The following is a 25,689-nucleotide window of genomic DNA, read 5'->3' as shown; positions in this document are numbered from 1 at the left end:
ATATTATCAAAATCTTAAAGCAGAACAATTCAGTCTTAAGTCATCCCTGTTTCAGCAGTACCCACAGCATTTCACTTTCTTGCTATAAAAATTGTGACTAGATACAAATTAAAGTTACTGCCACTTGGCAACTCCACGCTACTTAATACGTATACAGTAATGAGGCTACTAATATTTTCAATACACCACATGTGGACCATCTCTGGACATAAGATAAACAAAGAAGCAGCCAGAGAGAATACATACTCAGCATGTGGAATTTAGTCAACATTTTTATCACAATCCACACTCTAAATTTAAGAAAAACCTAAGTGCCCTTTGACTGGATTAGAATCATTTTACCACTTAACAGGAAGGAGTCTAGTGTCACCCATTTTAAGGGTGAAAAAGTTAAAATAATTGATCACTTCAAAGCTAAAATCAGACTATTGTTACTGTTTTTTTTTTTTGCAAATGTTAAAAAAAAACTATAGCCTAAGAATCTGTCAAATATTGCATTAAGATTACACTAATCACTGGAAAAACTTAATGTAACTTCAACTTTATTACCACTATAAGGGTAAAAACCATGCTAAAGCCAGGGCCCTTCCAGGAGCTAAATGCTCTTGGAAAGTGTCCAAAACAATGTTATAGTAAATTTCCAACTTGTTTCATCTAAGGTCAAGGAAAACAAATTATCTAAAGCACTGGATTATGTTTGAATACACTGCAACTAAAAGTTTACATCAAATAATCCCATGGAAAAATCTTTACTCTGCGCCTATGATGGGCCCTAAATCCAGTAAGGGCAATGTGGGGGAATAGCTGCACCTAGGAATCCATGCTACGTCTTACTTACTAATATTTTGAGAAAACTTTCAATATCAATAGCTTCCATTTTGAGAGAACTGTATTTTAACAAAATCTGTGAAAATAATGGTTTGGAATGATAATGAAAATCTCCTCAGCTTCTATAATGTGGACAACATGTGCTGGTTACTCTTTGGTTTCTAGCTTCAGTCAAAGTTCAAGGTCTTCTGCTATTTGTGGCTCAGATTCTTTCTTATGGGAGGCATGTCTGATAGATATACACCAATTTCATAAATAAATAAATAAACATAAAAGTATTTTATGTATGAGTGTATTGTGGGTGTACATATATGGCACTCTAGACAAGCCATGCTTTTCACTCACAACAATGCTTTAATAAATTACAGTTCTACTACAGTGGGAAGTAAAAGCCAACTGTTAACAGAAAAATCTAGCCAAAGAATAGCAAAGTGAGCTACAAAATTAATTCCAGAAGCCAAAGAACTAAATAAAGCTGGTTCACAAAACAAACAAAACCAACACATTTTCAATGAGCACTATTCGGTTTATCTATAAATGTTCATGTATTTAAAAAGTTGAGTGGTATGCCAACTTTCACTTATGACAACATTCTACATAAATACCTGATTCCCAAGAGAAATAATTCAGGTTTAAAGAGCTGTATACAAAAATAAGAGAAGCAAGAGCTACAATGAAATGAACAGAACTAAATTGCACGGGAGCCCTAAATGTGGGATGTGCTGAATACAGTGTACAGGAGACTCAAAATACACAAATTAAGCCTAAATATTCCCAATGTATTCAATATCTATGAAACAAGCAATAGAATTCCAATCAACACTTGCCACAAAAATTGCCATAAGCTGGTTGCTATTTTTTAAATGATGTAACAATGACAGATTTGTTGCCACATATTTTGTAACTTAGGAACACTGAGCTATTAAGTTTCTATTAGCGATGTTTTAACTGAGGATTTGGGCTAGAAGACTGAAATCTGTTTGTACAGCAGTGAAAACGAAGCCTCACTAAAGGCATTCAACTTCCAGCTAAAGGCTCCTTTCCTTGATGCGTATTTGTGACCATACATAGTGTTCACTAAATGCAGTAAACTAAACTAGCAACAGATTAGTTAAAAGCAGCTTAGATTTTCAACTTCCCATAATACAGGCAACATCTTTAGAAGCAATCACATTAAAATAAATGTGTCTTTCACAGTTACGGGATGAAATTGTAAGCTGGACAAGCACCCATGCCCTGGTTTTCTACTTTATTTGTAAACCATATGACTCTCACATGCTGAGAATGTTTTATGCTTTAACCTGCAGTAAAGGCTTTACATCATTTTAATGCCCAGTACTTAAAATGCAACAGAATCACCCCCAACAAATGCTGGGAATATATTTGGTTTACATGTAATGATTTTGATCCCACTAGTAGCCAGAAAAAGTTTAATGAATGCTTTTTCAAGTAAATAACTTTGCACTTCTATAGACAAAACAAAAAGAAATTTTGAGGTAAGGGTAGATGGAAGAGAAAACACTCGTGTTTTTCCAATTTAAAATATTAACAAACATGTTGGTTTTTTACTTCTAAAATAATTATTAAACATTTTTTAAAAAACTCCATGACTATTATAATATGCTTCAGAAAAATAAAACAAAACACTCCGTTAAGTAGTTACGTAGGATTTTTCTCTGGTTTTTGCAAAGTAGTGTTTCAAGTTAAGATACAAGCTTAAAACAAATGATTCTGAAAATCCTGGTCTATCACAAACTAATGGCTTAGTTTTGAATCAACATATTGTATATTCTACATCTGAGATTTAGAAATCACATTTTTTTTTCTATTCAGGTCAATTGAAATATACATGCTACCTCACTCTTTCAGTCCCCCTTATCTGTGTGAATGACCAACAGCAAAAATTTTAAATCAATGGTTAGAGGACATATCATAAAATTACACACTCTATCAATGTGGTTTTCAGTTATCATAGAATCTAAAGGTCCCTTACTGATGATAGGTGGCAGATTCAAGAATTGATAAGTTTGGGGAATATATTCAATTCTCAACAGTCGAAATAGAAATTATGCCAATTTCTTTACTTTAAAAATCCGTTACACTAAAAAAATTGTCACATAAGGATTATTGAAGAACTTAATAAGGAAGTACAAAATATGACCTTAAATTCTCCTAGTGTGTTATTAAATATTAAAAACTGTGAGAAATAAGAGATGTTGCAATCCTTTCCTTTTTAACTCTAATTGAAATTTGAAAAAAAATTTAGAATTCAAATTTCCCAACTTTGACTTAGAAACATAATTCAGCTAGATCAAGCAACTTAATTGCACAATTTTAAAATAAGTTTAATGCAAAGCACTGCAATCCTGATGTGATAATTACCTGCAGCATAAATGCAAAATAATAAATGCATTTAACGATGCATTTTATGGTAAAACCACAAAAAGCACAACCATATTAGCACAAACTAAATAAAAAGACACAGGCGGTATTATGTCCAACAGAAAGAGAAATGTTGTACGAAGCCAAGAAAGAAAGGAAGGACTTAAGGAAGGAAGGAAGGAGGGAGGATAGGAAGGAAGGAAGAGGGAAGCCAGAGGTTTCTGTACCTGCAGGATACCAGAGAAATGAGCTAGTCACATCACTCTACCTTATATGATACATGGGTGATTTTTTTTAAGCTTCAGCGTAAATAAAAACAGTAATCACTTTATACCATTCAACTTTACATAGTGTTATCTTTAATGCCAACTGCATTCTTCCCTTTACTCACCCAATGCTTCTTCACTGTTCCATTCCACCAGCTTTCAGGCAAATGCAAGACAGAACAGGGTGGAGTAGAAGAAAAATACAAGCAGCGCCTTTCGGCGCACCCCCTCTCCCGCAAATAATTTCCAACAGTTCCTCCTGCTACGAAAATAAGTCGCCCTATCTCCAGATACATAACAGACATTCCGTCTCCTTAGTAGACACACACAGACGCGTACACAATCCAGCACTCCCGACCCCCACCCCAGGCCCCCCGAATCTTCAGCAATTATTCATCTAATTCACACGAAGACAAGATACCTCTACCTACTGTTTCGGGGTGAAGGTGGGTGGAGGACGCCTTTCAAAGTAGCCCCAATAGTGTAACCAAAACACGGTTCCGGAATAAAATATTAAGAAACACTTTTCCTTTCCCACCTATCTACCGACTTGAGGATGCAAAAAATCCATCTCCACATCACACCATCTCTACAGTTCTCGTGGCTGGAGTTTGGGGTGGAGATTCGTCCAGGGGAGGGGGCGGAGGCGAGTGGCAGAGTGTGAGCGGGCGACGGGACACAAGCGAGTTGTTGAGCCCGGCCGCCTCGCACCACGTCGCCAGCCCAAACGCCCAGCACCAGGACCTCACGCCCGCCCCTCAGCCCAGGCCCAGAGCGAGCGAGGACTCGCGCTGTCTAACTTCCCATCTACAGACACCGCTCCAAGACGAGCAGAGCACACAAGTACACGTCACACAGTTTAAACACACTTACACACCCCAAACAAACCAACACACCTGCAAATCACCTCACAGTTTCCAGAACTCCACACCGGAGACCCCACCTCCAGGATTCAAACCTTCCGCTCATCGTAGAGGAAACCAGAAGAGTTGGGGGGCAGTCGACGCCTTTCCAGGACCGGACCCCACGAACTGCCCCACCCCACAGCCCGCGTCTGGGTCACCCACTCGGAAGCCCCCTGCTTCCTCCCTCCTCTCAATCCGGCCGCTTACGAGACCCATCCCCAGCGTCCGCTCACTTCCTCCCCAAAACCCCTCCAAAAAAATTGTTTTAAGTGAAGAGAAAGAAGTGAGGAAAGAGACTTGAGGTAGTCCGGCTTCAAAACCGCTCGACTCACCTCAGAATCCTCGCTGAGTTCTCTCCGCCCGGCACAGCCCCCTCCCCAACGTCCCAGTACGAAGGGCTGAGATAGGGAGGAGGGAAGGCGGGAGGGGGAGGGGTGTCTTCCGCGTGGGGCGCCCGTCGGGAGGGGACTGGGGAGGGGTTGAGGCCGGCGCAGGAAGAGGAGAAGGGGGAGGGGAGGCCCCTATCTCCCAGTCTCCCCCTGAAAAACCTCCCTTGTCTCAATCACATCAGACTGACTGTCTTTGTCTGGCTGACAACCGCCATATTGATATCAACAGCCCCTCTCCCACCTGCTGCCGCCGGGCGTCCCTGGGAGTTGTAGTTCCTGCCTCCCCTGAGAAAAATTGCGGAGCCCGGCGCCTAGAGGGCCAAGGGAACTACAACTTCCGGCAAGCCCCGTGCCCATCCGCCTTCCCTTTGGGAGGAGGGAAAGGGGAGTCGGAGCCGTCGGGACTACACATCCCAGAACACCATGGGCCCCAGGCCCGTAAGGAAGACATGATATCATGCTGGGGTGGAGAGGGAGGATGCATTGGCGGCTGGGATGAATTTGAGCTGACGGAAGGAGGCGTTCGGAGAGGAAAGGGAGGAAAAGGAAAGGCGACCACAGTTCCCATGATGCCTGGAGGGGAGACTACATTTCCCATTATTCCCCTGGAAGGGACGTGAGGATGAAAGACTGCAAGTCCCGCGATGCTCTCGGCTGGCAGGTGGCGGAGATTGCACCGGAAGACGCTTCCTGGGTTTGAGGAGTTCAGTGACTGCTATTGAACCACCAAAAGTCCATTATGAAACTGGTGAGTCTTCGCTCCTAGGTCAGAGGGCAAAGGTGATGCTATAACCTTTTGGACCTCTTTTTTTCCTACGTTGGGCAGGGAATCGTCGCACGGGAGGGGTAGCAATTATTGAGCTGGAAAGTGGAGTGGGCTAAGGAAAGCTGCTTTTTGTTGTTGAGAAGGTTTGAATTCCCTCTCCCCCACCCCATCCCTCCCAGGAGGTCTTTTTTCACTCGTTAGTGGGTCTTTTTGTTCAGACAAGAGGTTGACTGTCACAGTCCTTCGCCCATGAACTCTGTGGGCTCTGTTAACCAGGTTTGGACGTCCTGGTTCCCACGTGAGGGTTATAATAGGCTGTTAACAATCCGTTTCCATTCGATTGGCGCTTGAGTATCCTGTCTCCCTACTGTTGTTGAGACTGGCTAGATTTAAGCAGACAGTAAAAAACATCCAGCAGAACGTAATCACTTATTAAATATCCTGTTATATAGACTCCTCACTGCCCTTGGAATTCAGGACGAGGTCAGAGTGTGGAGAAGTTGAGTCTTAAACCCTGCATGGGATTTAGATGGGCAGAGAAGTGTTATATGGTATTCCATTCTAAGACTGTAGGGACTTCATGAGCCAAGGCTGAATGAAGCGTGCTCGGTATACCTGAAGTCTTAACATCACACAGCTCAAGCACCTGGTTCATGGAGGCTCCTCAGACCTTTGATTTGAGCCATTTGACTCATTGTGCACACAAGTCTAACTAGTTTATTCCAACTCGATTCAATTAGTTAATAACATAGTGTAGAAAGGCAGGTGTGAAACACTGTTTCTCAACCTTTTAAAACCCATATTTGTGCAGCCAAGTTATTGTCAAGCTTTACTTGAGGCAGGAGAATCGCTTGAACCCGGGAGGCAGAGGTTGCAGTAAGCCAAGATCGCGCCACTGCACTCCAGCCTTGCAACAGCGCGAGACTCTGTCTCAAAAAAAAAAAAAGTTTATTTTTTACCATTTATATAATTATCTGAACATGCTTTGCCAAACCACACAACACACCTACCCTCATCTTGATAATCATTGTGCTACAGGCATATATTCTGCAAAGCCAGCTGTTTTCTGCGAAGTCAGAGAAAGTATTAAAAGTGGATTCAATTCCGAAATTGTCCCCGTATAAATCTGTTTATATAAGGGGAAGGATGCGGGTCACTAAACCTTGAGAATAGCAACTTACCCCTGGGTCAGTGTGTTACACATTTAATAATGCAGAATTAAAAGTCATAGCCGTTGCCCTACAGAAGCATGCAACCTAAGAAGAAGATAGAAAAGTAAACCAAAGTTATTATTTATTTATTTAGAGACAGGGTCTGGCTTTGTGGGGCCCAGACTGAAGTGCAGTGGCGCGTTCTCAGCTCGCTGCTACCTCCACCTTTCGGACTCAAGCGATCCTCTCGCCGCGTCAGTCTCCCCATATAGCTGGGAATACAGGCGCGCACCACTGCACCCTGCTTATTTTTTTTGTAGAAATGGGGTTTAACCATGTTGCCCAGGCTGGTCTCAAACTCCTGGGTTCAAGGTATCTGCCCACCTCAACCTTCCAAAGTGCTGGAATTACAGGCATGAGCCACCATGCCTGGTCCGAAATTATAATTCACTGTGTTCATGGTGAAATAGAGGCGTGTTCAGGGTTTTGGGAATTCAGAGAACAGAGGATTGGGGAGGTCAGGGGACAGCTTCCTGGAAACGTGACTCTTGAACTGATAAGGATAAGTAAGCCAGGGCCTTCCATGAAAGAGGTCAGCTTATAGGAGCATAAGAGCTTGGTACCTTATTGGCTAAAGCATGGACCCTGTGTTCTCAATAAAGAGCAAATTATATTTAATGTGTTCAGTTTAAGAAGGCAGGGAAGTGTGAAATAGTTTTTCCCATAACAACTCATTAGTGAGGGTATCAAAAAGCCAGGGTTTACTTTACATATATTTTAGTTTGCTCATAAAATCCTCCTGCTTAATTTATTTAGAAATATGAAACCGGGGATTGTAAAAAAGTGGAAAATTATTTTTTCCATTAAGAACCAAAGATGTCTCAGAGGAAAAGGAAGTATTCTATTGATACTCATACTCCCTCTTTACTTTGCAACTATGTATTACATACTAAAATTTATTTGGTAGTTGATAGATAAATGTAATTGAGAATTCCCATCAACATACCAAAAGCATTGTTGCTCAGTAAGTTAGATGGGTGTGTCATGCCTCCCAAATGGTTGGAATAAGTCCTCCCATGGCCTAAAAGTTTTAATTTTGTGTACTGCTTCAGAAATATGTAATAGGCTGTGTTTTAAATTTATAATTATGAAACAAAAACACATTTTGTTTAGCATTTTCTCATTTTTGAGATTCACTTTCCAGAGTACCCTTCCCACACACAATCTATGACCACCTCTTATTGATTCTGCTTCCTAAATGCAGCTTTCTTAAATAGGTTCTATTTCTCTCCAGTCCAACTAGAATACTGTCTTTGTAATCGGAATTCAACAAGACCCCTTATCTGGTCTCTCTGCATTCAGTCTTAACCCTCTCAAATTCATTCTTTCCTCTGCATCCGGAAGTTGTTTTAATTGCAGAGTTCCATGAAACCCTCTCAGTATCTTCCTTTGCCCTTAGGATAACCTCCTACACTTAACTTGGTTGAATATGTTCCATTGCCTGCCTCACTCTTTTTTGCCTGGCTAATTTCTTCATATATTTCAGATCTCTGTCTAAATAACACTTCTTCAGGGCCTCGTTGAATTAAGTACCCCTGTTATATATTTGATGGCATACTTCCTATTTGTAGCACTTGTAATTATTGGCGTGTGTCTGTCCTCCCCCATGTAGATTCTGTGTAAATAATTGGTAAATAATTTCTGAAGGTTTATCAAGGTCTATGGATACCCTTGAGAAAAGATTAAAGAGTGAAATTAAAGAGATTACAATAAGCAGTAACCATTGAAGTAAAAAAGGAATGATAGCTACCTTTTATAAAGCAATTATTGTGTGCCAGGCAATGTGCTAAGTATTTGCTATGTAGTTTCCCATTTAATCCTTTGATCCAGGTGACAGTATTCCCATTTTACAGACAAAAAATGTGAGCTTCAGGGAGGTGAAGTAAGTGGCTTAAAGTTAGCATGGATTAAAAATGATAGAGCCAAGATCGAAACCCAGGTTTCCCTGTTATTTAGTGAGGGTAGGAACTCTAGCACCCTGCACCATGCCTAGGTTATCTCTTAAAAAAAAAGAAGGTAGAGTGCATACAGAAAATATATTCAAGGCTATTTTTAAAAATTAGCTTTAAATGCAAGTGTGGTTCAATTAAGATCTTCAGGCCAGGTGCAGTGGTTCATGACTGTAATCCCAGCACTTTGGGAGGCGGAGGCAGGCAGATGGCTTGAGATCAGGAGTTCTAGACCAGCCTGAGCAACATGGCAAAACCTGTCTTTACAAAAGATACAAAAACTAGCTGAGCGTCGTGGCATGTGCCTGTAGTCCCAGCTACTTGAGGGGCTGAGGCAGGAGGATCACTTGCGCCTAGAAGGTTGAGGCTGGAGTGAGCTGTGATGGCACCACTGCATTACAACCTGGGTGACAAAATGAGACCCTATCTCAAAAACAAAAAACAAAAAAAAGTTTTTAAGGTTATTGGTTAAAAAAAAATTTTTTTTAAGTTTGAGGACTTTCTTGATGAGCTAAAGGCCCCCATATCAGAGCATACTAATTTGGTGCTGAAGTTAGTATTTTTTATCTTCCAAATTTAGCTCCTGTGATACCATTTATAATTCTCTAACTTTGCACATCACCCTCTTGGTGGCTTTTCACACACCCACATGAAAACAATGGATGCCATTATAACGTAATACTTGGGTATCTCCTTCTTAGATACCAACTCAGAGGATTTCAGTGGCTTTCCGTATTTATAATATGCAATATTCAGGCAGCTTTATTTAACTGAAGAAAACTCATTGGCATTTTCAGTTAACCAGAATCATTTTAGAAAGCAGAGGAAAATTAGAAATATATCTTTTAAATTAGCACATTTTAGAGCATGTTCTGTTATTTGTATAGATTGAGCCTAACTGAGTACGCTGATGGCCAGTTCAGCTAAGGATAGAAACTGGAATTCACAAAGGTCCTTACCGAAAGAACATGGAACAAAAAATTCTGAGCACGTTGACAGAAATTAAGTTTGAAACATCATGGCCAGGAACCCAGTCATTTAAATAGATGAAGAGTCAAGCGAATAAAATAATCCAAAGCAGTTCAAGAATGCAGCCTGTGTGTTGTACTTCCTACAGATAGTACCTGAGATGGAGAGAATCTTCTGGCTTATTCAGTCAACAAAGATTTTTTATGCAACCACAGTATACCCTTGGCATTCACAATTTTAACGCTTTCCATTTTAACCATTACATTTGACCCCTGTGACATGGAATTATTTATAATTTTGCTGAGACACAAATTTGAATGTGACTTTAAGATTAATGTTAATCCTTTGGGAGGGGCCTGAGTGCCTCAGAATCCATGGCGCTCTGCAGAGGCCGGCTTGTTAAAAGTCTTAAAGGAAGGTCATTTAAATGCTTGTTATACTATACTTATTAAATTTGAAGGAGAAAATTACATGCTGTAGTTGTGTTTACAAATTTTAAAACTTGAGAAGGCCACGAAATACATTCTTCAGTGGTCTTTGCTCCTTTGTTCAAAATGCTGTTTCATTTCTACTGGCTCAAACTTTTAACTTGCCATTTCTCCTGGGAAAACAGATGGAGCAAAGAAATGAATTCATGGACTGCTCCCAGTGGAAGACAAGTAAAACACCGAGTGCAATTGTAGATTATGTAGAAGATTGCTTGAAAGGGGCAAATCCTGCCCCAAGGTCAGTTTAAGAAATCATTAGAAAGGGGCGTGGTTAATCCTCACCTTGGATCTGAGAGTGTTGGATTCTTCCTCCAGTTTACATGGTTGTAGAATCCTGTTGGCTTCCTAGGTTGTACATGAAAACAGGAAATCTCGGGCTATAAATTACAAGCCCTCAACATTTTATCGGTGCTTGATTCAACTATTGCAGTACAAATTGTTAAAATGTCAGCTTGACTTCACTGTCTTTTCTGTTTTTCTTTGCTGGTTAATAAGAGTGCCCTCCTGTGTCTTTAGGATGTAATGTCATTTCAAGCTTTTCAAAGGTCATATTTTATCATAACCTCAATAGGTTTTTTCCTTCATGATTTCCTCAAACTCTGAAAAGCTGCGTGTGACATAAGGCTAAGTTACATACCTTTCTCAGTAATGGTCTGTGATAAAGATGGATATTTTACTCTTAGGCATTTCAGAGTCCAAAATTATTATTCTGAAGATTAAATATTTTATACTTAACAAGGCAAAAAAATATATCGGGCCAAGCACAGTGGCTCACACCTGTAATCCTAGCACTTCAGGAAGCTGAGGAGGAGGATCACTTGAGCCCAGGTGTTCCAGACCAGCCTGGGCAACATAGTGAGACCCTGTCTGTACAAAAAAAACTAAAAATTAGCTAGGCCTGGTGTCTTGTGCCCGTAGTCCCAGCTACTCAGTAGGCTGAGGTGAGAGGTTTGCTTGAGCCCAGGGATTTGAGGTTACAGTGAGCTGATTGCACCTCTGCACTCTAGCCTGAGTGACAGAACAAGGCCCTGTCTCCAACCAAAAAAAAAAAAAAAAAAAAAAAAAAAAAAGATACACTGATGACAGACTTTTGGTAGTAGTAGTTGAATTGAAAAAAAAAATCTGGCTTACCTATGGTCAATCAGCAAAGCCAGAAGACTGTACTAATAGAAGTATTACAGCATTACTCTTGCTATAACCACGGTACCACAGTAGCATATTTGTTTTGTGACTGGTTTGCTCTGAGTACTCATATCCCTCTGGCATTTGCTCTGATGTTCAGCAATATTTAGTTAACAGTTCACAAGGGCCCAGGTTGCAGCATGGCCACCAAGTCATTCCACATGGAAAATACACTCCTGGTTTGCTGAACACCAGCAGAGGTCCAGGCATAAACCAACCCTCAGGTCTCCATCATTCATGTATTTACTCAACAAATCTTCTGAACACCTGCTCTGTACCAGGCATTGCTCAAGATACTAAGCATATTGCAGTGAACAAAACAGATTTATCCCCAGCCTATATGGAACGTGAAGCCTAGTGGGTTTACTGTCCAATTCAAGCAGTATTACATTGAATGTCCTGATTAGAGATACCCTTGGGCTCAGGCTCAAATATTTTTGTTACATGTAATGGTCAAAACTGTATTTAATTGTATCCAGTAATATGCTTTCTGAAAATTTTAACAGATAAGGCCAAATTGCTCACTAGTTTTCCATTGTACAGGTAGTATATGAGAATGCATTTTCCCCACCCTTGCCAATGATGCTGTTTCTTTACTTTTACTATTTGTCTTCTGAATGTAACTTTCTTCTTTGATCTATCCTCACATGCTCTCAGTCTACTATAGACTTCATCCGTGTTTAGTAAAGTGTCCCTGGAGTAGTGATTGCAGACGTGGGAAGATGGACCAGAAAGGGGAACACATTTCTTCAGATAAAAATATGGTGCCATAAGAATCTTCAAAAGGAAGCTTGTAAAAGATCTATGGTGTTGCTTTGGAAATGCCAGTGCATAGATGTAGGAATTAAGATGATGGTACTGTGAGATCAGACAGATTGGAGAGGCAGCTGGGGAAGTGTGGGTAGATGGCAGAGGAAATCCCCTATACTCCCCAGAAAGGGGAAGGCCAGTGAGAGGAAGCCTGGAGTTGACACATCAGGCAGGGCTAAGAAAGGGGTACGTGCCAGAAATTTGCAGGGATCGCAAGAAAAGGCAAGAGTAGGAAAAGAAAGGACAGGAAGGGAAAATAGAGAAGACCCTGCAAGAGAAAGGCACTGGCTTGAAAGTCGCAAGTTGCTCAGTGATCAAGACTAGTAACTGTGTGGTGGGAACTTTACTGTGAGAAAAACAACAGGTTTAAATGGCCCCTGATTTACCATGAATTTGAAGGAAATGCCTCAAAGATTTAAAATGTTTAAATTTATTGAAAGCACATTTGAATGAACTTTTAGCTCTCTCAAAGACAGGTAATCAGACAAATGATGTTCAAGAAAGCTATTCTTTAATAGGTATTGTAAAACTAACACCTTTTTTGGCTTTAGGGTAGTTTATTTCTCATCACTGATGTTTATGAAGAGGTGGGGGAGGTGTATAATAAGATGTCTTGCATAATCCATTTCTCAGATTTATGGCTTAATCAGAGTCTCTTTTTCTAAATACATTATGTCTACATTTTTCTTTTTTTTTTTCTTTTTTTTTTTTTTTAGCTGTTAATATCGCTTGCATATATTTCTTTTTTTTTTATTTTATTTTATTTTATTTCTATTTTTTTTTTTTTTATTGATCATTCTTGGGTGTTTCTCGCAGAGGGGGATTTGGCAGGGTCATAGGACAATAGTGGAGGGAAGGTCAGCAGATAAACAAGTGAACAAAGGTCTCTGGTTTTCCTAGGCAGAGGACCCTGCGGCCTTCGGCCTTCCGCAGTGTTTGTGTCCCTGGGTACTTAAGATTAGGGAGTGGTGATGACTCTTAACGAGCATGCTGCCTTCAAGCATCTGTTTAACAAAGCACATCTTGCACCGCCCTTAATCCATTTAACCCTGAGTGGACACAGCACATGTTTCAGAGAGCACAGGGTTGGGGATAAGGTCACAGATCAACAGGATCCCAAGGCAGAAGAATTTTTCTGAGTACAGAACAAAATGAAAAGTCTCCCATGTCTACTTCTATCCACACAGACCCGGCAACCATCCGATTTCTCAATTTTTTCCCCACCCTTCCCGCCTTTCTATTCCACAAAACCGCCATTGTCATCATGGCCCATCCCCAATGAGCCGCTGGGCACACCTCCCAGACGGGGTCGTGGCCGGGCAGAGGGGCTCCTCACTTCCCAGTGGGGGCGGCCGGGCAGAAGCGCCCCTCACCTCCCGGATGGGGCGGCTGGCCGGGCGGGGGGCTGACCCCCCCACCACCCTCCCGGACGGGGCGGCTGGCCAGGCAGAGGGGCTCCTCACTTCCCAGTAGGGGCGGCCGGGCAGAGGCGCCCCTCACCTCCCGGACGGGGCGGCCGGCCGGAAGGGGGGCTGACCCCCCCACCTCCCTCCCGGACGGGGCGGCTGGCCGGGCAGAGGGGCTCCTCACTTCCCAGTAGGGGCGGCCGGGCAGAGGCGCCCCTCACCTCCCGGACGGGGCGGCTGGCCAGGCGGGGGGCTGATCCCCCCACCTCCCTCCCGGACGGGGCGGCTGGCCGGGCGGGGGGCTGACCCCCCCCACCTCCCTCCCGGACGGGGCGGCTGGCCGGGCGGGGGGCTGACCCCCCCCTCCCCCCTCCCGGACGGGGCGGCTGGCCGGGCGGGGGGCTGACCCCCCCACCTCCCTCCCGGGCGGGGCGGCTGGCCGGGCAGAGGGGCTCCTCACTTCCCAGTAGGGGCGGCCGGGCAGAGGCGCCCCTCACCTCCCGGACGGGGCGGCTGGCCAGGCGGGGGGCTGATCCCCCCACCTCCCTCCCGGACTGGGCGGCTGGCCGGGCGGGGGGCTGACCCCCCCACCTCCCTCCTGGACGGGGCGACTGGCCGGGCAGAGGGGCTCCTCACTTCCCAGTAGGGGCGGCCGGGCAGAGGCGCCCCTCACCTCCCGGACGGGGCGGCCAGCCGGGCGGGGGGCTGACCCCCCCACCTCCCTCCCGGACGGGGTGGCTGCCGGGCGGAGACGCTCCTCACTTCCCAGACGGGGTGGTTGCCGGACGGAGGGGCTCCTCACTTCTCAGACGGGGCGGTTGCCAGGCAGAGGGTTTCCTCACTTTTCAGACGGAGCGGCCGGGCAGAGACGCTCCTCACCTCCCAGACAGGGTTGCGGCCCAGCAGAGGCGCTCCTCACATCCCAGACAGGGCGGTGGGGCAGAGGTGCTCCCCACATCTCAGACGATGGGCGGCCGGGCAGAGACGCTCCTCACTTCCTAGATGGGATGGCGGCGGGGAAGAGGCGCTCCTCGCTTCCTAGATGGGATGGCGGCCGGGCAGAGACGCTCCTCACTTTCCAGACTGGGCAGCCAGGCAGAGGGGCTCCTCATATCCCAGACGATGGGTGGCCAAGCAGAGACGCTCCTCACTTCCCAGACGGGGTGGCGGCCGGGCAGAGGCTGCAATCTCGGCTCTTTGGGAGGCCAAGGCAGGCGGCTGGGAGGTGGTTGTAGCGAGCCGAGATCACGCCGCTGCACTCCAGCCTGGGCACCATTGAGCACTGAGTGAACGAGACTCCATCTGCAATCCCGGCACCTCGGGAGGCCGAGGCTGGCGGATCACTCGCGGTTAGGAGCTGGAGACCAGCCCGGCCAACACATCGAAACCCCGTCTCCACCAAAAAAAAACGAAAACCAGTCAGGCGTGGCGGCACGCGCCTGCAATCGCAGGCACTCGGCAGGCTGAGGCAGGAGAATCAGGCAGGGAGGTTGCAGTGAGCTGAGATGGCAGCAGTACCGTCCAGCTTTGGCTCGGCATCAGAGGGAGACCGTGGAGGGAGAGAGAGGGAGAGGGAGAGGGAGAGGGAGAGGGAGAGGGAGAGGGAGAGGGAGAGCTATGTCTACATTTTTCTATGCCATTAAAATAAAGGCAAGCATAATGAGATATTCTAGCTTTATAAGTCTTCTTTCCTCTATTTTTTTCCAGCATGTGGAAATATGGGTAAAAAGCAGTAGTTTTAATATGTAAATGATATTATTATAGTTACCTTTTTTTACATTGTTTAAACAGCTTTTTTGAGGTGTAATATGTAATATGTAAAATTCTTGCATATAAAACAAAATTCAATGACTTTTAGTAGATTTCAGAGTTGTGCCTCATTCACCACGATCCAGATTTAGCGCATTTCCATTACTCCAAAAAGATCTCCGTTACTACCTCCAGGCCTCGGCAACCACGAGTCTCGGTAGATTTGCCCTTTCTGGTCATTTTATGTAAATTAACTCATTTGATATGGGGTCTTTTGTGGCTAAGACATCTTCTTTCATTTGGTGTAATGTTTCTGAAGTTCGTTCATGTGGTAGCATATATCAGTTGTTTCTTTTTTCTTGCTGAATAATATTTTCCTCTATGGGTACTCTCCATTTTGTTTATTCCTGCACCAGGTGATGGACATTTGAATTGTTTCTGCTTTTTGGCTGTTATGACTGTGTGGACATAAGTTTTCATTTCCAATTTCTCCATGTTTTCACTTCTTTTTCTTGCATGATTGTACTAGCTAGACCCTCCAGTACAGTGTTGAATAGAGGTAGTACAAGCAGGCATCATTGATTTGTTCCTCATCTTAGGAAGAAAATATTCAGTTGTTCACTCCTAAATATGATGTGAACTGTACGTTTTTCATAGATGCCCTGTATCAGGCTGATGATATTCCCTTCTATCCAGCTTGTTGAGTATTTTTATCGTAAATGGTTCTTGGATTTTGTAAGATGCTTTTCCTTCATCTATCAAGGTGATCATGTGGTTTTTGTCTTTATATTAATATATTACTTTAATTGAATTTTGAATGTTAAACCAGACTTGCATTCCTGGAATAAATTCCACTTGATCATGGTGTTTAATCTTTTGTATATGTTGCTGGATTTGGTTTGCTAACATTTTGTTGAGGATGTTTGTGTATATATTCATGAAGGATATTGGTCTGTAGTTCTCTTGTGATATCTTTGTTTGACATTGGTATCAGGTAATATTGTTCTCATAGAATGCGTTGGAAAATGTTTCCTCTTCCTCTGTACCTCCTCTATGTTCTACAAGAGTGTATGAAGAATTAGTATTATTTCCTCTTTAATTTTTTTTTTTTTTGAGACGAAGTCTCACTCTGTCACCCAGGCCGGAGTGCGGTGGGCAATCTTGGCTCACTGCAATCTCTACCTCCCGGGCTCAAGCGATTCTCATGCCTCAGCCTCCAGAATAGCTGGTACTACAGGTACCTGCCACCACACCTGGCTAATTTTTGTATTTTTAGTAGAGACAGGGTTTTTCCATGTTGGTCAGGCTGGTCTCGAACTCCTGACCTCAAGTTACCTGGCCGCCTTGGGGCCTCCCAAAGTGCTGGGATTATAGGCGTGAGCCACCGCGCCTGGCCCAACATTTTTTTTTAAGTAAACTATACAAGAGTTTTTTGTTTTGTTTTTTTTTTAAAAAAAAAAAAACAGTGAAGGCCAGGCACAGTGGCTGACACCTATAATCCCAGCACTTTGGGAGGCCAAGGCAGGAGGATCACTTGAGCTCGCAAGTTTGAGTCCAGCCTGGGCAACACAGTCAGACCCTGTCTCTACAAAAAAACAATTTTTTTTTTTTTTTAGCTGGATGTGGTGGCACACACCTGTAGTCCCAGCTACTCAAGAGGCTGAGGTAGGAGGTCCACTTGAGCCCAGGAGGTCGAGGCTACAGTTAACCATGATCGCTCCACTGCACTCCAGCCTGAGCAACAGAGTGAGACCGTATTTCAAAAAACAAAAACAGTTAAATGATTCCCTCCCACTCTTTCAGTCTTTATCCTCCTTTCCAGAAGGAATCTCAGTTATCAGTTTCCTTTGTATTTTTCAAAGATATTCTGTGGATTTTTGTACATGTATATAGTTTTCATCCCTATTTTATTTTTTACAAAAATAATGAGATATTATCCACATTGGTTTGGCATATTGATTTTTCTTTTTTAAGTTAGAGATGTGTCTTTAAGATTATTTCATATAAATATCTAGAACTACCTCATTTTGTAAGACTGCATACCTATACCTAATGAACAGAATCTGCATTTAACAAGATCCCAGTTCTTTTGGTTTCAAGATACTTTTTTCTGAACAATGAGATATTTTCAATACTGCTTTCAAATACTTTTAGAAAATATTTCTAACACCCTTTGTATTTTCGTTGCTTGTAGGAAGCATTTAGAATTGTGGATATTTGCCTGAAAGATATTGTTCCACCACCAACACCCTCCCCCAACTATTTTAAAAATCATTCATGATTAAAGTTTAGGGCATGGTTTTTGTTGTTGATTTAAAACATAATTATGAAACTAGTGTCAATATATCTCAAAAATACATTCATACTGTTGCTAAAAGAAAAACCGGTTGCATAGTGTTCTGTTGTTTAAATATACCATAATTTATCTAACCAAACTTCTATCAATTAACATTGTTTCCAGTCTCTTGCAATTACAACTCACATTTTACAGATTATCTCCTTTTTGAGCCTCTTAGGGAGTACATCTGTAGCATACATTTCTACTGGTGAAATTGATGGTTCAAAGGGTATATGCATTTTTTATTAAGGTTTATTGCAAAAATGCTCCCATAGAGATTTATCAAATTGCAGTTGCCAGTAGCATATCCTAATGCTTACCACTACAATGTAATGATCAAACTTGTTTTTTTCTCACTGAAAAGTGAAAAAATATTATGTCATTATATTTTAAATTTGATTTTTCTCACATTATGTATGCAATGTGGAGCATATTTTTATATATTTATAAAAGCATTTGTATTTCCATTTCCTGCTCAGTTCTCTTCCTCTTGATCTATTAATATTCCAGTAGTAAACTATTTTACCCTATGTAGTTCTGGAGTATATTTTAATATCTTATAGTATTTGTTCCTGTTCATTGACCTGTGCCTCAGAATTTTCCAGGCTGCTCTCAGACATTTATTTTTTTGTATAAAACTTAGATTTTTACATTTTGTATAAATTTAGAATTATTAGTTCACAGTAAAATCCTTTTTGTGTTTTTATTGGGATCAGATTGAATTTATAAAATTTAAGGAGAGAATTGACTAATTTCTTTTACTGTATCATTGAGTCTAAGAATAAGACATGTCTTTTCCTTTATTTCTTTTTTTAAATGTTTCTTTGTAGCATTTTAAAACCTTTTGCTAATATAGCTTTTAGATATTTATTGTTAAATCTGTATCTAAATACTTTATCTTTTTGATTGTTACTGAAATCTTTTCCTGTGTGGTTTTCATATAAGAAGGCTATTTATTTATTGTGTTCACTACACAGGCCCCTTGTTGAATTTTAATTTTTAATACCCTTTCCAGTTGATTCTCATGGGTTTTCCAGGTGCATAACTTTGCAGATTTTTTTTTTACACTTCATTTCTTTCTCTGATGTAATTGCAGTGGCTTATACGTGCAGAATGATTTGGAATAGGAGTTTTGGTAGTAGGCGTCTCTATTTCTGATTAGAGTGGGCATTCTTTTTAAACTTATCAGGTGACTGTGATACTGACTTTTGGCTTGAAATTTTTATGTATTTTAATTTACGTGCTGTAGCTGACTGCTTTCTTGTTCCTTAATTTTCTAGTCATTAGTAAAGAGAGACTCTTTTACATAGCCTAACAATAAGTTATTTTTCTAAAGAGAAAATGTATTTGTGTTTTATTGTGTGTCCTAGGCAGTTAATTATATCTTGTAAGCCCTTTCCAGACTTTTGAGTAAACAATGGATTTTATAACTTAAAGTCTTAGGTGGTGCATAACAGACTCATAGAAATAATGGATTTCTACACATGATCCCTAGCCAAAACACAGGGAAGAAATGAGTAATAGATTTCTATGACCTTAAAAGAAAATTGCAAGGTTTCCTTGGAAAACAGAACAGCCAGAAATAGTTTCTCTGTACTTCAGAGATAGGCCTGATAAACCCAAGAAATGTAAACAATCAATCTGTTAAAATAAACGTAATGGCCACCCACACACACCCCCCAAAAAAAAATCTCCATAGAAACAAAAAGGGGCTCAGAGCCCTAAGTGGTGGCTTATTTTTAAATGGTTTTCGATTGAAGCTATGTATCCAGTAGGAGGAAACTGTTGATGACTATGTTGATGACTGTGTGATAGTTATAGCTAACAGATAAGAGAAGCAATAACAAAAATCCATTGTTTGGCTATACAATTGAACAAATGTTATTAAATGCCTATCTTGTACAAAACATTCTCAGTGCTCTGAGACATAAAGATGAATAAGACATAGATCCTACCTATCAGTAACTCACTATTGAACAAACTGTGTATATTCAATGTATGTGATTGAGAATATAACGTTTTGGTGATAGCCCCTGATACAGGCAGTGGGGACCTATGTAAGGTTAGGATTATAGAAGGTTAATCTTATCAGGGGTGGGTAGGGGGAGGGAGAGCATCAGGAAGAATAGCTAATGGATTCTGGGCTTAATACCTAGGTGATGGGTTGATTTTTTGCAGCAAACCACGATGGCACACATTTACCTATGTAACAAACCTGTACGTCCTATACATGTACCCTTGAGCTTAAAAGTTGAAAGAAAAAAAAAGATGAATGCCAATGGGAGAATCACAGTTCCCTAGAGAGGCAAAATCTGAACTGACCTTGAAAAGTACTTTGATAAGTATTTTCAAGAAGGAGTGTTATGTGTTATTACAAGTAGAAGGAACAGTTAAAGTAAAAATAATTTGGAGAAGTTCCATTTCCCCAGTGATGTATGTGTACAATTTATTATGTATTTTTTTTGCTTTGTAGTGCTCTGTAGCAGTGTGTACAAAAATGGATACATTTCCCCCAAGACATCCTCCTATTTGGATAGTTCAGAATATCAACTACTGATATGGTTGGATCTGTGTCTCCACGCAAATCTCATCTTGTAGCTCCCATAATCCCCACGTGTTGTGGGAGGGATTGGTGGGAGATGGTTGAATCATGGGGGCGGGTCTTTCCTGAGCTGTTCTCATGATAGCAAATGTGTCTCACAAGATCTGATGGTTTTAAAAAAGGGAGTCTCCCTGCACAAGCTCTCTCTTTGCCTGCTGACATCCATGTAAGATGTGACTTGCTCCTCCTTGCCTTATGTAATGATTGTGAGACCTTCCCAGCCACGTGGAACTGTAAGTCCTCTTTTGTAAACTGCCCAATCTCAGGTATGTCTTTATCAGCAGTGTGAAAACGGACTAATACAGCTACTCATGAAATTAGTTTCATTATAATGTTATTAACATCTGAAAGATTTGTGTATTTGATTGGAACAACAGATCACTATAAGTGGGGCAGGGGCAGACCTAATAAATGTCTTAGAAGGGAAAGTTAGGCAAATTGAAGCAAAAGCATGGTGGGTTTTACTACAAGACTTAGTGGTTTAGACAGTAAAGAATAAGAATTATGGGGGTTCTCTGTTTTCCAGGAAAAGTTTCAAGGAAGTTTAAGAGTTTAAAGTGGCCGGGTGCAGTGGCTCATGCCTGTAATCCTAGCACTTTGGGAAGCTGAGACAGGCAGATCACGAGGTCAGGAGATCGAGACCATCCTGACTAACACAGTGAAACCCCATCTCTACTAAAAAAAAATACAAAAAATTAGCCGGGCATGGTGGCAGGTGCCTGTAGTCTCAGCTACTCGGGAGGCTGAGGTAGGAGAATGGCATGAACCTGGGAAGAGGAGCTTGCAGTGAGCCGAGGTCACGCCACTGCACTCCAGCTTGGGTGACAGAGCGAGACTCTGTCTCAAAACAAAAAAAAAAAAACAGTTTAAATATGAATTTTTAAACATGTAGAGCCTTTAATTTTTTCCCTTTGGAAATCTGGGACCAAGGAGTTAAAAGAGCTTTATTTTACACAATTAAGAAAAACTGGAATGTGAAATCAGAAAGTATGACTTCATTGCAGTTACAGAAAATATTTAGGAAAGTGACATATAATCAAAACAAGAAGAATTAGGGAGCTTAGCAAATGCATCAAAGCAAATTCCAAGTCAGAATTACCTACATAGGAGAAAAGATATTTTTTAGCACTTTGCAGAAGACCTCGGAAGCAGTAACAGAATCCACAAATACACCAGGGGGCAAAAGGCATCCCAACAATCAGTGGGACCAGTTGATGATATAGTATGAGAAGAATGTCCAGATATGAATAAGGAGGGAAGAGAAACCTTAAAGAATTCCTTGACTTTCATCTCTGTTGAGGAAGAGATAGTGGGAAGGGGGGATCCTCTTCTTCCAGAACTGATAAATACATATTCTCAGTCACATCGACATGTTGAGTATAGACAAATTACTAGAAAGTATGTTGCAGTCCTCAGGGTGCTTGTTTGGTTTTAGGTATACTTTTCATTCAGTTCAACTAGCATAAGCTTCAAGCATACATACAGCTTGATGAATTTTTACCTATATATGCATCCATGTATTCATGATCAAAATTAAGATATAGAACATTTCCACCAACTTTGTTTCCTTCCCAGTCAATAATTTTCCCTCCAGTTAATCACTATTCTGACTTACATCACTGTGTCTCACATTTGCCTATTCTTGAACTTCATTTAAATGGAACTATACCTTATGTCTCATTTGTGTCTGGCTTCTTTAATTCAACATTATGTTGACCTGAAAGTTTTAAAGGGTGAAATTGTTGAATATGTCACCTGTCTGCAAATAGCAACTTGGTAGAGGACTGGCAAACTGCCTTTCATCCATAAATTCATCCATAAATCCATTATGGAAAATCTATCCATAAAGATAAATGACCATCTTTATGTGGGGTTCTTCAGGAAACCTTAAGAAATTCAGCCTAGTAAAACCTATTTGTGTGCCTGGCAGGCTGCTGAGATTCAGTGGTAAACTGTCAGGCAATATAGTTGTTTTTCAAAAGAAATCAATCTGACTAAACTAATGAGAGTTCTTTCAAGGAACTAAGTAAAAGAAAGCTTCTATTTTTTTAACACATTTTTAGAAAACTTTTCTCAAAATAAAAATAACTGTTACAGAATCAATACGTATTACTGTAAGAAAAAATTTTCAGAATATACTTCTGAGTCCTGAGAGGCATAAAGAAAAAAAAAAAATCACCTGTAATCTCACCACCTCAAATAATCAGTCATTATGGTATACCTGCTAGGATGGGTGTGTGCAGTGATACCTTCTGTGTGAGTCACCCTAAAACTGTACACCAGTTAGGATTAGATTCAGCTCTGAGTGACAGAAAGCCTGAAGTAATGGTGGCTTAAACAGGATAAATGTTTACATCTCTGTTGTGTAAATGATGTGCTGAGTTAAATAGTCCAGGGCTGGTGTGGCAGGTCCAGGCTCTCCTGATAGCTTGTAGCTCCACCATCTGTAATCCATGACTTCCTCTTTGTGATCCAATATGACTACCAGCTCAGGCCATCATATCCCTATTCTAGTCAGTAGGAAGGAGGAAGGGACAAAGAAAGCCATGTCCTCTCCCTTTGACACTTTGAGAAAGTTGTGTACACTACTTCTATTTATACCTTCCTGACCAGCATTTTCTTACATGGCTACATCTAGTTGCAGTCAAGTCTAGCAAATAGTTTTTATTCCAGGTGGCCATAATTACAGCTAAGACATGGATTCTAATTTAAAAAGGAGAAGAGACATATAGTTAATGAGAGACAATGCTCATAAGCTTTTTCATTTGGAACATTTATGTAGTTCATTTTGAGTATGTTTATAGTATAACATTGTGTGGACATATTCTACTGTTGAAATTTTGGTTTTTATTCCCTACTGTCCCACACAGTGCTGATGAAAATATACTGTTTAGATTGTTTGCACCCATCTAGTTACTGTATTTGTTTATTGTAAATTCCTAAGTGGAATTTCTTGTTCAAAGACTATACATGCACATTTTAAACTCTGATGCAATATTGCTTTTCAGGACTGCTTTAGTTTTTACCCATAGAGTAAATGAGAGTTTCCACTTCCCCACAACCTCATCTTTGGCTTCTTTGCCAATGTATGGACTGGGCATTTTATGTCAGTATAGTTTTAAATTACACTTTTATTTCTTCTGGGTTTCTGTTTTGCATTTCTCTTACATCTTTACATATGTTTTTTCACTCATTTGTATTTCATGAATTGACTGTGCTTTTTGCACATTTTTCTGTTGGAATCTTACTCATTTCTTAGAGCTCTTTATATATTAAGGATATCAATTTTTTGTCTTGGTTTTATAAATATTATTTTCCCAGATAATCTTTTACCTTATTCAAAGTAGTTTTTCTCATAGAAAAGTCCTTAGTATAAGTAATCTAGTCTATCAGTATTTTCTCCCAAGATCATGGCTTTAGGATCATGCCTTAAAAGTTCTTTCCTAGGTCAGGCATGATGGCTCACACCTGTAATCCCAGCATTTTGGAAGGCCGAGGTGAGCGGATTGCTTGAGCCCAGGAGTTCAGGACCAGCCTGGGCAACATAGTGAGGCTTCATCTCCACAAAAAAATACAAAAATTTGCCAGGTATAATGGCTTGCATCTGTAGTCCCAGCTACTTAGGAGGCTGAGGTGGGAGGATTGCTTGAGCCCAGAAGGTTGAGGCTGCGGTGAGCCGTAATCATATCACTGCACTGCAGCCTGGGCAATAGAGTGAGACCCTGTCTCAAAAAAAAAGTTATCTCCTACCCCAGAATTATATTAAATATTTCCCTAAAATTTTAGAAATTCCTTGCTCAGATTCCATAATAAAGATTTTCAAAGAAGTATTTTATCATGGACCAAGGTAAACTGAAAATCAAAATTTAACTAGTTCCTCCAGTAAGTATGGCTCTCCCTTCTGCCTAATCTGTAGGATCAGCATACATTAGTGAAGAAGCTACTGCTTCCGTTCTCTCCCAAAGTCTCTACCAAATGGTAGAGACAAACGGAAGCTCTTTCCTTTGCTGACTCCTAACTTACTACCGGTGTGACTAGTAAGAAGTTTTTCCATTGAAAAGCCTTTTCTCAGCCCTAGTACTTAGCCAGTCAGCCTGGTTTTTGTGCCTACATAAATGCATGTGAATAACCCAGCATGAAGTAAGTGATTAATAAATGTTCGCTGTCTTTAAAAACTTAATTTATCAAAAGCTGTTTGGAAATCCGTTTCTTTGAAAATCTGAAGTGACTAAAGGGGTGTAAACTTCTCCCCACCCCCAACTCTTGATCCACACAGAAGCATATTTGTTCAAAGATTGAAACTAGGCATGCTCTCCTCCTTGCTGAAACGTATTATACCAGGCATCTTCCCCCTAAATAAAACACTTTTGTCTGCGTTGAAAGTCTGTTGAGTTAGGGAACCCCTTCCTGATTGTCTTCACAATTGTGACCAGCAACTCCCTAGTATTTCTGCTCTATGCTTTATGATTGATTTTGATGTCCAGATTTTTCTAAACCTTGAAACTTGAACCATTGCATTTATATGTGGTTTGAAGAGAGAAAAGAAAGCATATTTCTAACATGCTAGAATAAATTCTTAGCTTACTCCTGAACCGACATACACTAATAAGTCTCCCTTCTTGATGCTGATCCTCTAGCCATTTACAAGTTTTACCATTTCGTTAACCATTTTTCTTTCTTGCAAGTTGCCATTGTTGCACATTTTCAGCAATTTGTATAAATTATATTGTCCTTAAAAACTTTGTTGCCAATAGAAACTTCTCTGGTAGTGACTCTATTCAAAAAAAAAAAAAAAAAAAAAAGCTTTTTTCTGATTCTAAAAAAAAAAAAAATGGTTAATGTTTAAAAGAAGTAGTAGTCAAGGATACAGAAGTATCTAAGTAGAAAGTGAGAGTTCCAGTATGATCAACCACTCGCCCCTGTGGTAACCACTTCAATCAGTTTGGTGTGTGTGCTTACAGTCTTTTATACATACATATATATATATGTAACAAACAGTCACATATATAGTTCCATGAACTTTTTTTCATCAACTATAATTACTTCTTAACGTGTATTAAGTGCTGGTTCCAGATAGCCAAACATGTTGGTTCCGAAGGCAGCCCCTACCTGTTTTCCTTCCCTCGCCCTTAATGATTTACTATCAACATTTCCACCCTTCCTGCGCTTCTCTTGGGGAAATTTTGCTTTTTATGACCACCCTCTGCTGCTTGTCTCATTTTCATGGAAAGCCAAGTAGAGGACAGGATGAGTGTGAGGGAGCAGCCCTAAGTGGCAGTTACTCAGCTGTGTGTGATATCTAGCCACTCTTCAACCAGAAAGTGGCTTTTCTGTGTTCACCATGCATGCTAAGATTTTCTGCACAAGTGGAAAATTACCCTTCTCTTTTATCCAGCTGTGTAGTCAGTTTGACAGTGAGTATGATTGGCACATTTAACAGCTCTCCTGC

The 25,689-nt window shown here is 41.1% G+C and overlaps 2 protein-coding genes across 50 annotated transcripts in view, besides 6 other annotated features; one reads left to right on the top strand and one right to left on the bottom strand.

The window, feature by feature from the left end:
* The window catches only part of HMBOX1 (homeobox containing 1), a 163,155-nt gene extending 157,879 nt beyond the window's left edge, over window positions 1-5,276 (bottom strand). For 18 of the 35 annotated variants that reach the window (NR_136758.2, NR_136757.2, XR_001745595.2 and 15 more), the window contains exon 1: window positions 4,714-4,997. The gene's annotated coding sequence lies outside the window, so the exon portion shown is untranslated. The other 17 variants (NM_001324390.1, NM_001324384.1, XM_047422222.1 and 14 more) reach the window with 6 other exon arrangements.
* Window positions 4,527-5,083: an enhancer, noted in NCBI's record as "H3K27ac hESC enhancer chr8:28747826-28748382 (GRCh37/hg19 assembly coordinates)". NCBI's record gives its function as "activates a minimal SCP1, AML or CMV promoter by ChIP-STARR-seq in naive and primed H9 embryonic stem cells {active_cell/tissue: H9 hESC(naive and primed)}" and the evidence as "EXISTENCE:reporter gene assay evidence [ECO:0000049][PMID:30033119]".
* Window positions 4,755-4,874: a silencer, noted in NCBI's record as "silent region_19067". NCBI's record gives its function as "represses an Ori minimal core promoter by ATAC-STARR-seq in GM12878 lymphoblastoid cells {active_cell/tissue: GM12878}" and the evidence as "EXISTENCE:reporter gene assay evidence [ECO:0000049][PMID:35858748]".
* Window positions 5,084-5,640: an enhancer, noted in NCBI's record as "H3K27ac hESC enhancer chr8:28747269-28747825 (GRCh37/hg19 assembly coordinates)". NCBI's record gives its function as "activates a minimal SCP1, AML or CMV promoter by ChIP-STARR-seq in naive and primed H9 embryonic stem cells {active_cell/tissue: H9 hESC(naive and primed)}" and the evidence as "EXISTENCE:reporter gene assay evidence [ECO:0000049][PMID:30033119]".
* Window positions 5,245-5,444: an enhancer, noted in NCBI's record as "active region_27175". NCBI's record gives its function as "activates an Ori minimal core promoter by ATAC-STARR-seq in GM12878 lymphoblastoid cells {active_cell/tissue: GM12878}" and the evidence as "EXISTENCE:reporter gene assay evidence [ECO:0000049][PMID:35858748]".
* Window positions 5,423-25,689, top strand: part of INTS9 (integrator complex subunit 9) — a 122,309-nt gene continuing 102,042 nt past the window's right edge. For 13 of the 15 annotated variants that reach the window (NR_026826.3, XM_047421958.1, XM_047421956.1 and 10 more), the window contains exon 1: window positions 5,423-5,518. Coding sequence is in view for 11 of the 15 variants with exons in the window: in XM_047421958.1 (XP_047277914.1) it covers window positions 5,510-5,518 (9 nt within the window). In the remaining 4 variants the exon portion in view is untranslated. Of the gene's footprint in view, window positions 5,551-17,629; window positions 17,636-25,689 lie in introns of those variants that run through there. The other 2 variants (NM_001172562.2, XM_011544574.1) reach the window with 2 other exon arrangements.
* Window positions 23,992-24,638: an enhancer, noted in NCBI's record as "OCT4-NANOG hESC enhancer chr8:28728271-28728917 (GRCh37/hg19 assembly coordinates)". NCBI's record gives its function as "activates a minimal SCP1, AML or CMV promoter by ChIP-STARR-seq in naive H9 embryonic stem cells {active_cell/tissue: H9 hESC(naive)}" and the evidence as "EXISTENCE:reporter gene assay evidence [ECO:0000049][PMID:30033119]".
* Window positions 25,200-25,249: a silencer, noted in NCBI's record as "silent region_19066". NCBI's record gives its function as "represses an Ori minimal core promoter by ATAC-STARR-seq in GM12878 lymphoblastoid cells {active_cell/tissue: GM12878}" and the evidence as "EXISTENCE:reporter gene assay evidence [ECO:0000049][PMID:35858748]".

This window comes from Homo sapiens, chromosome 8 (genome assembly GCF_000001405.40).
Source record: "Homo sapiens chromosome 8, GRCh38.p14 Primary Assembly".
NCBI lineage: Eukaryota > Metazoa > Chordata > Mammalia > Primates > Hominidae > Homo > Homo sapiens.
This window is presented reverse-complemented; position numbering and strand designations above follow the sequence as displayed.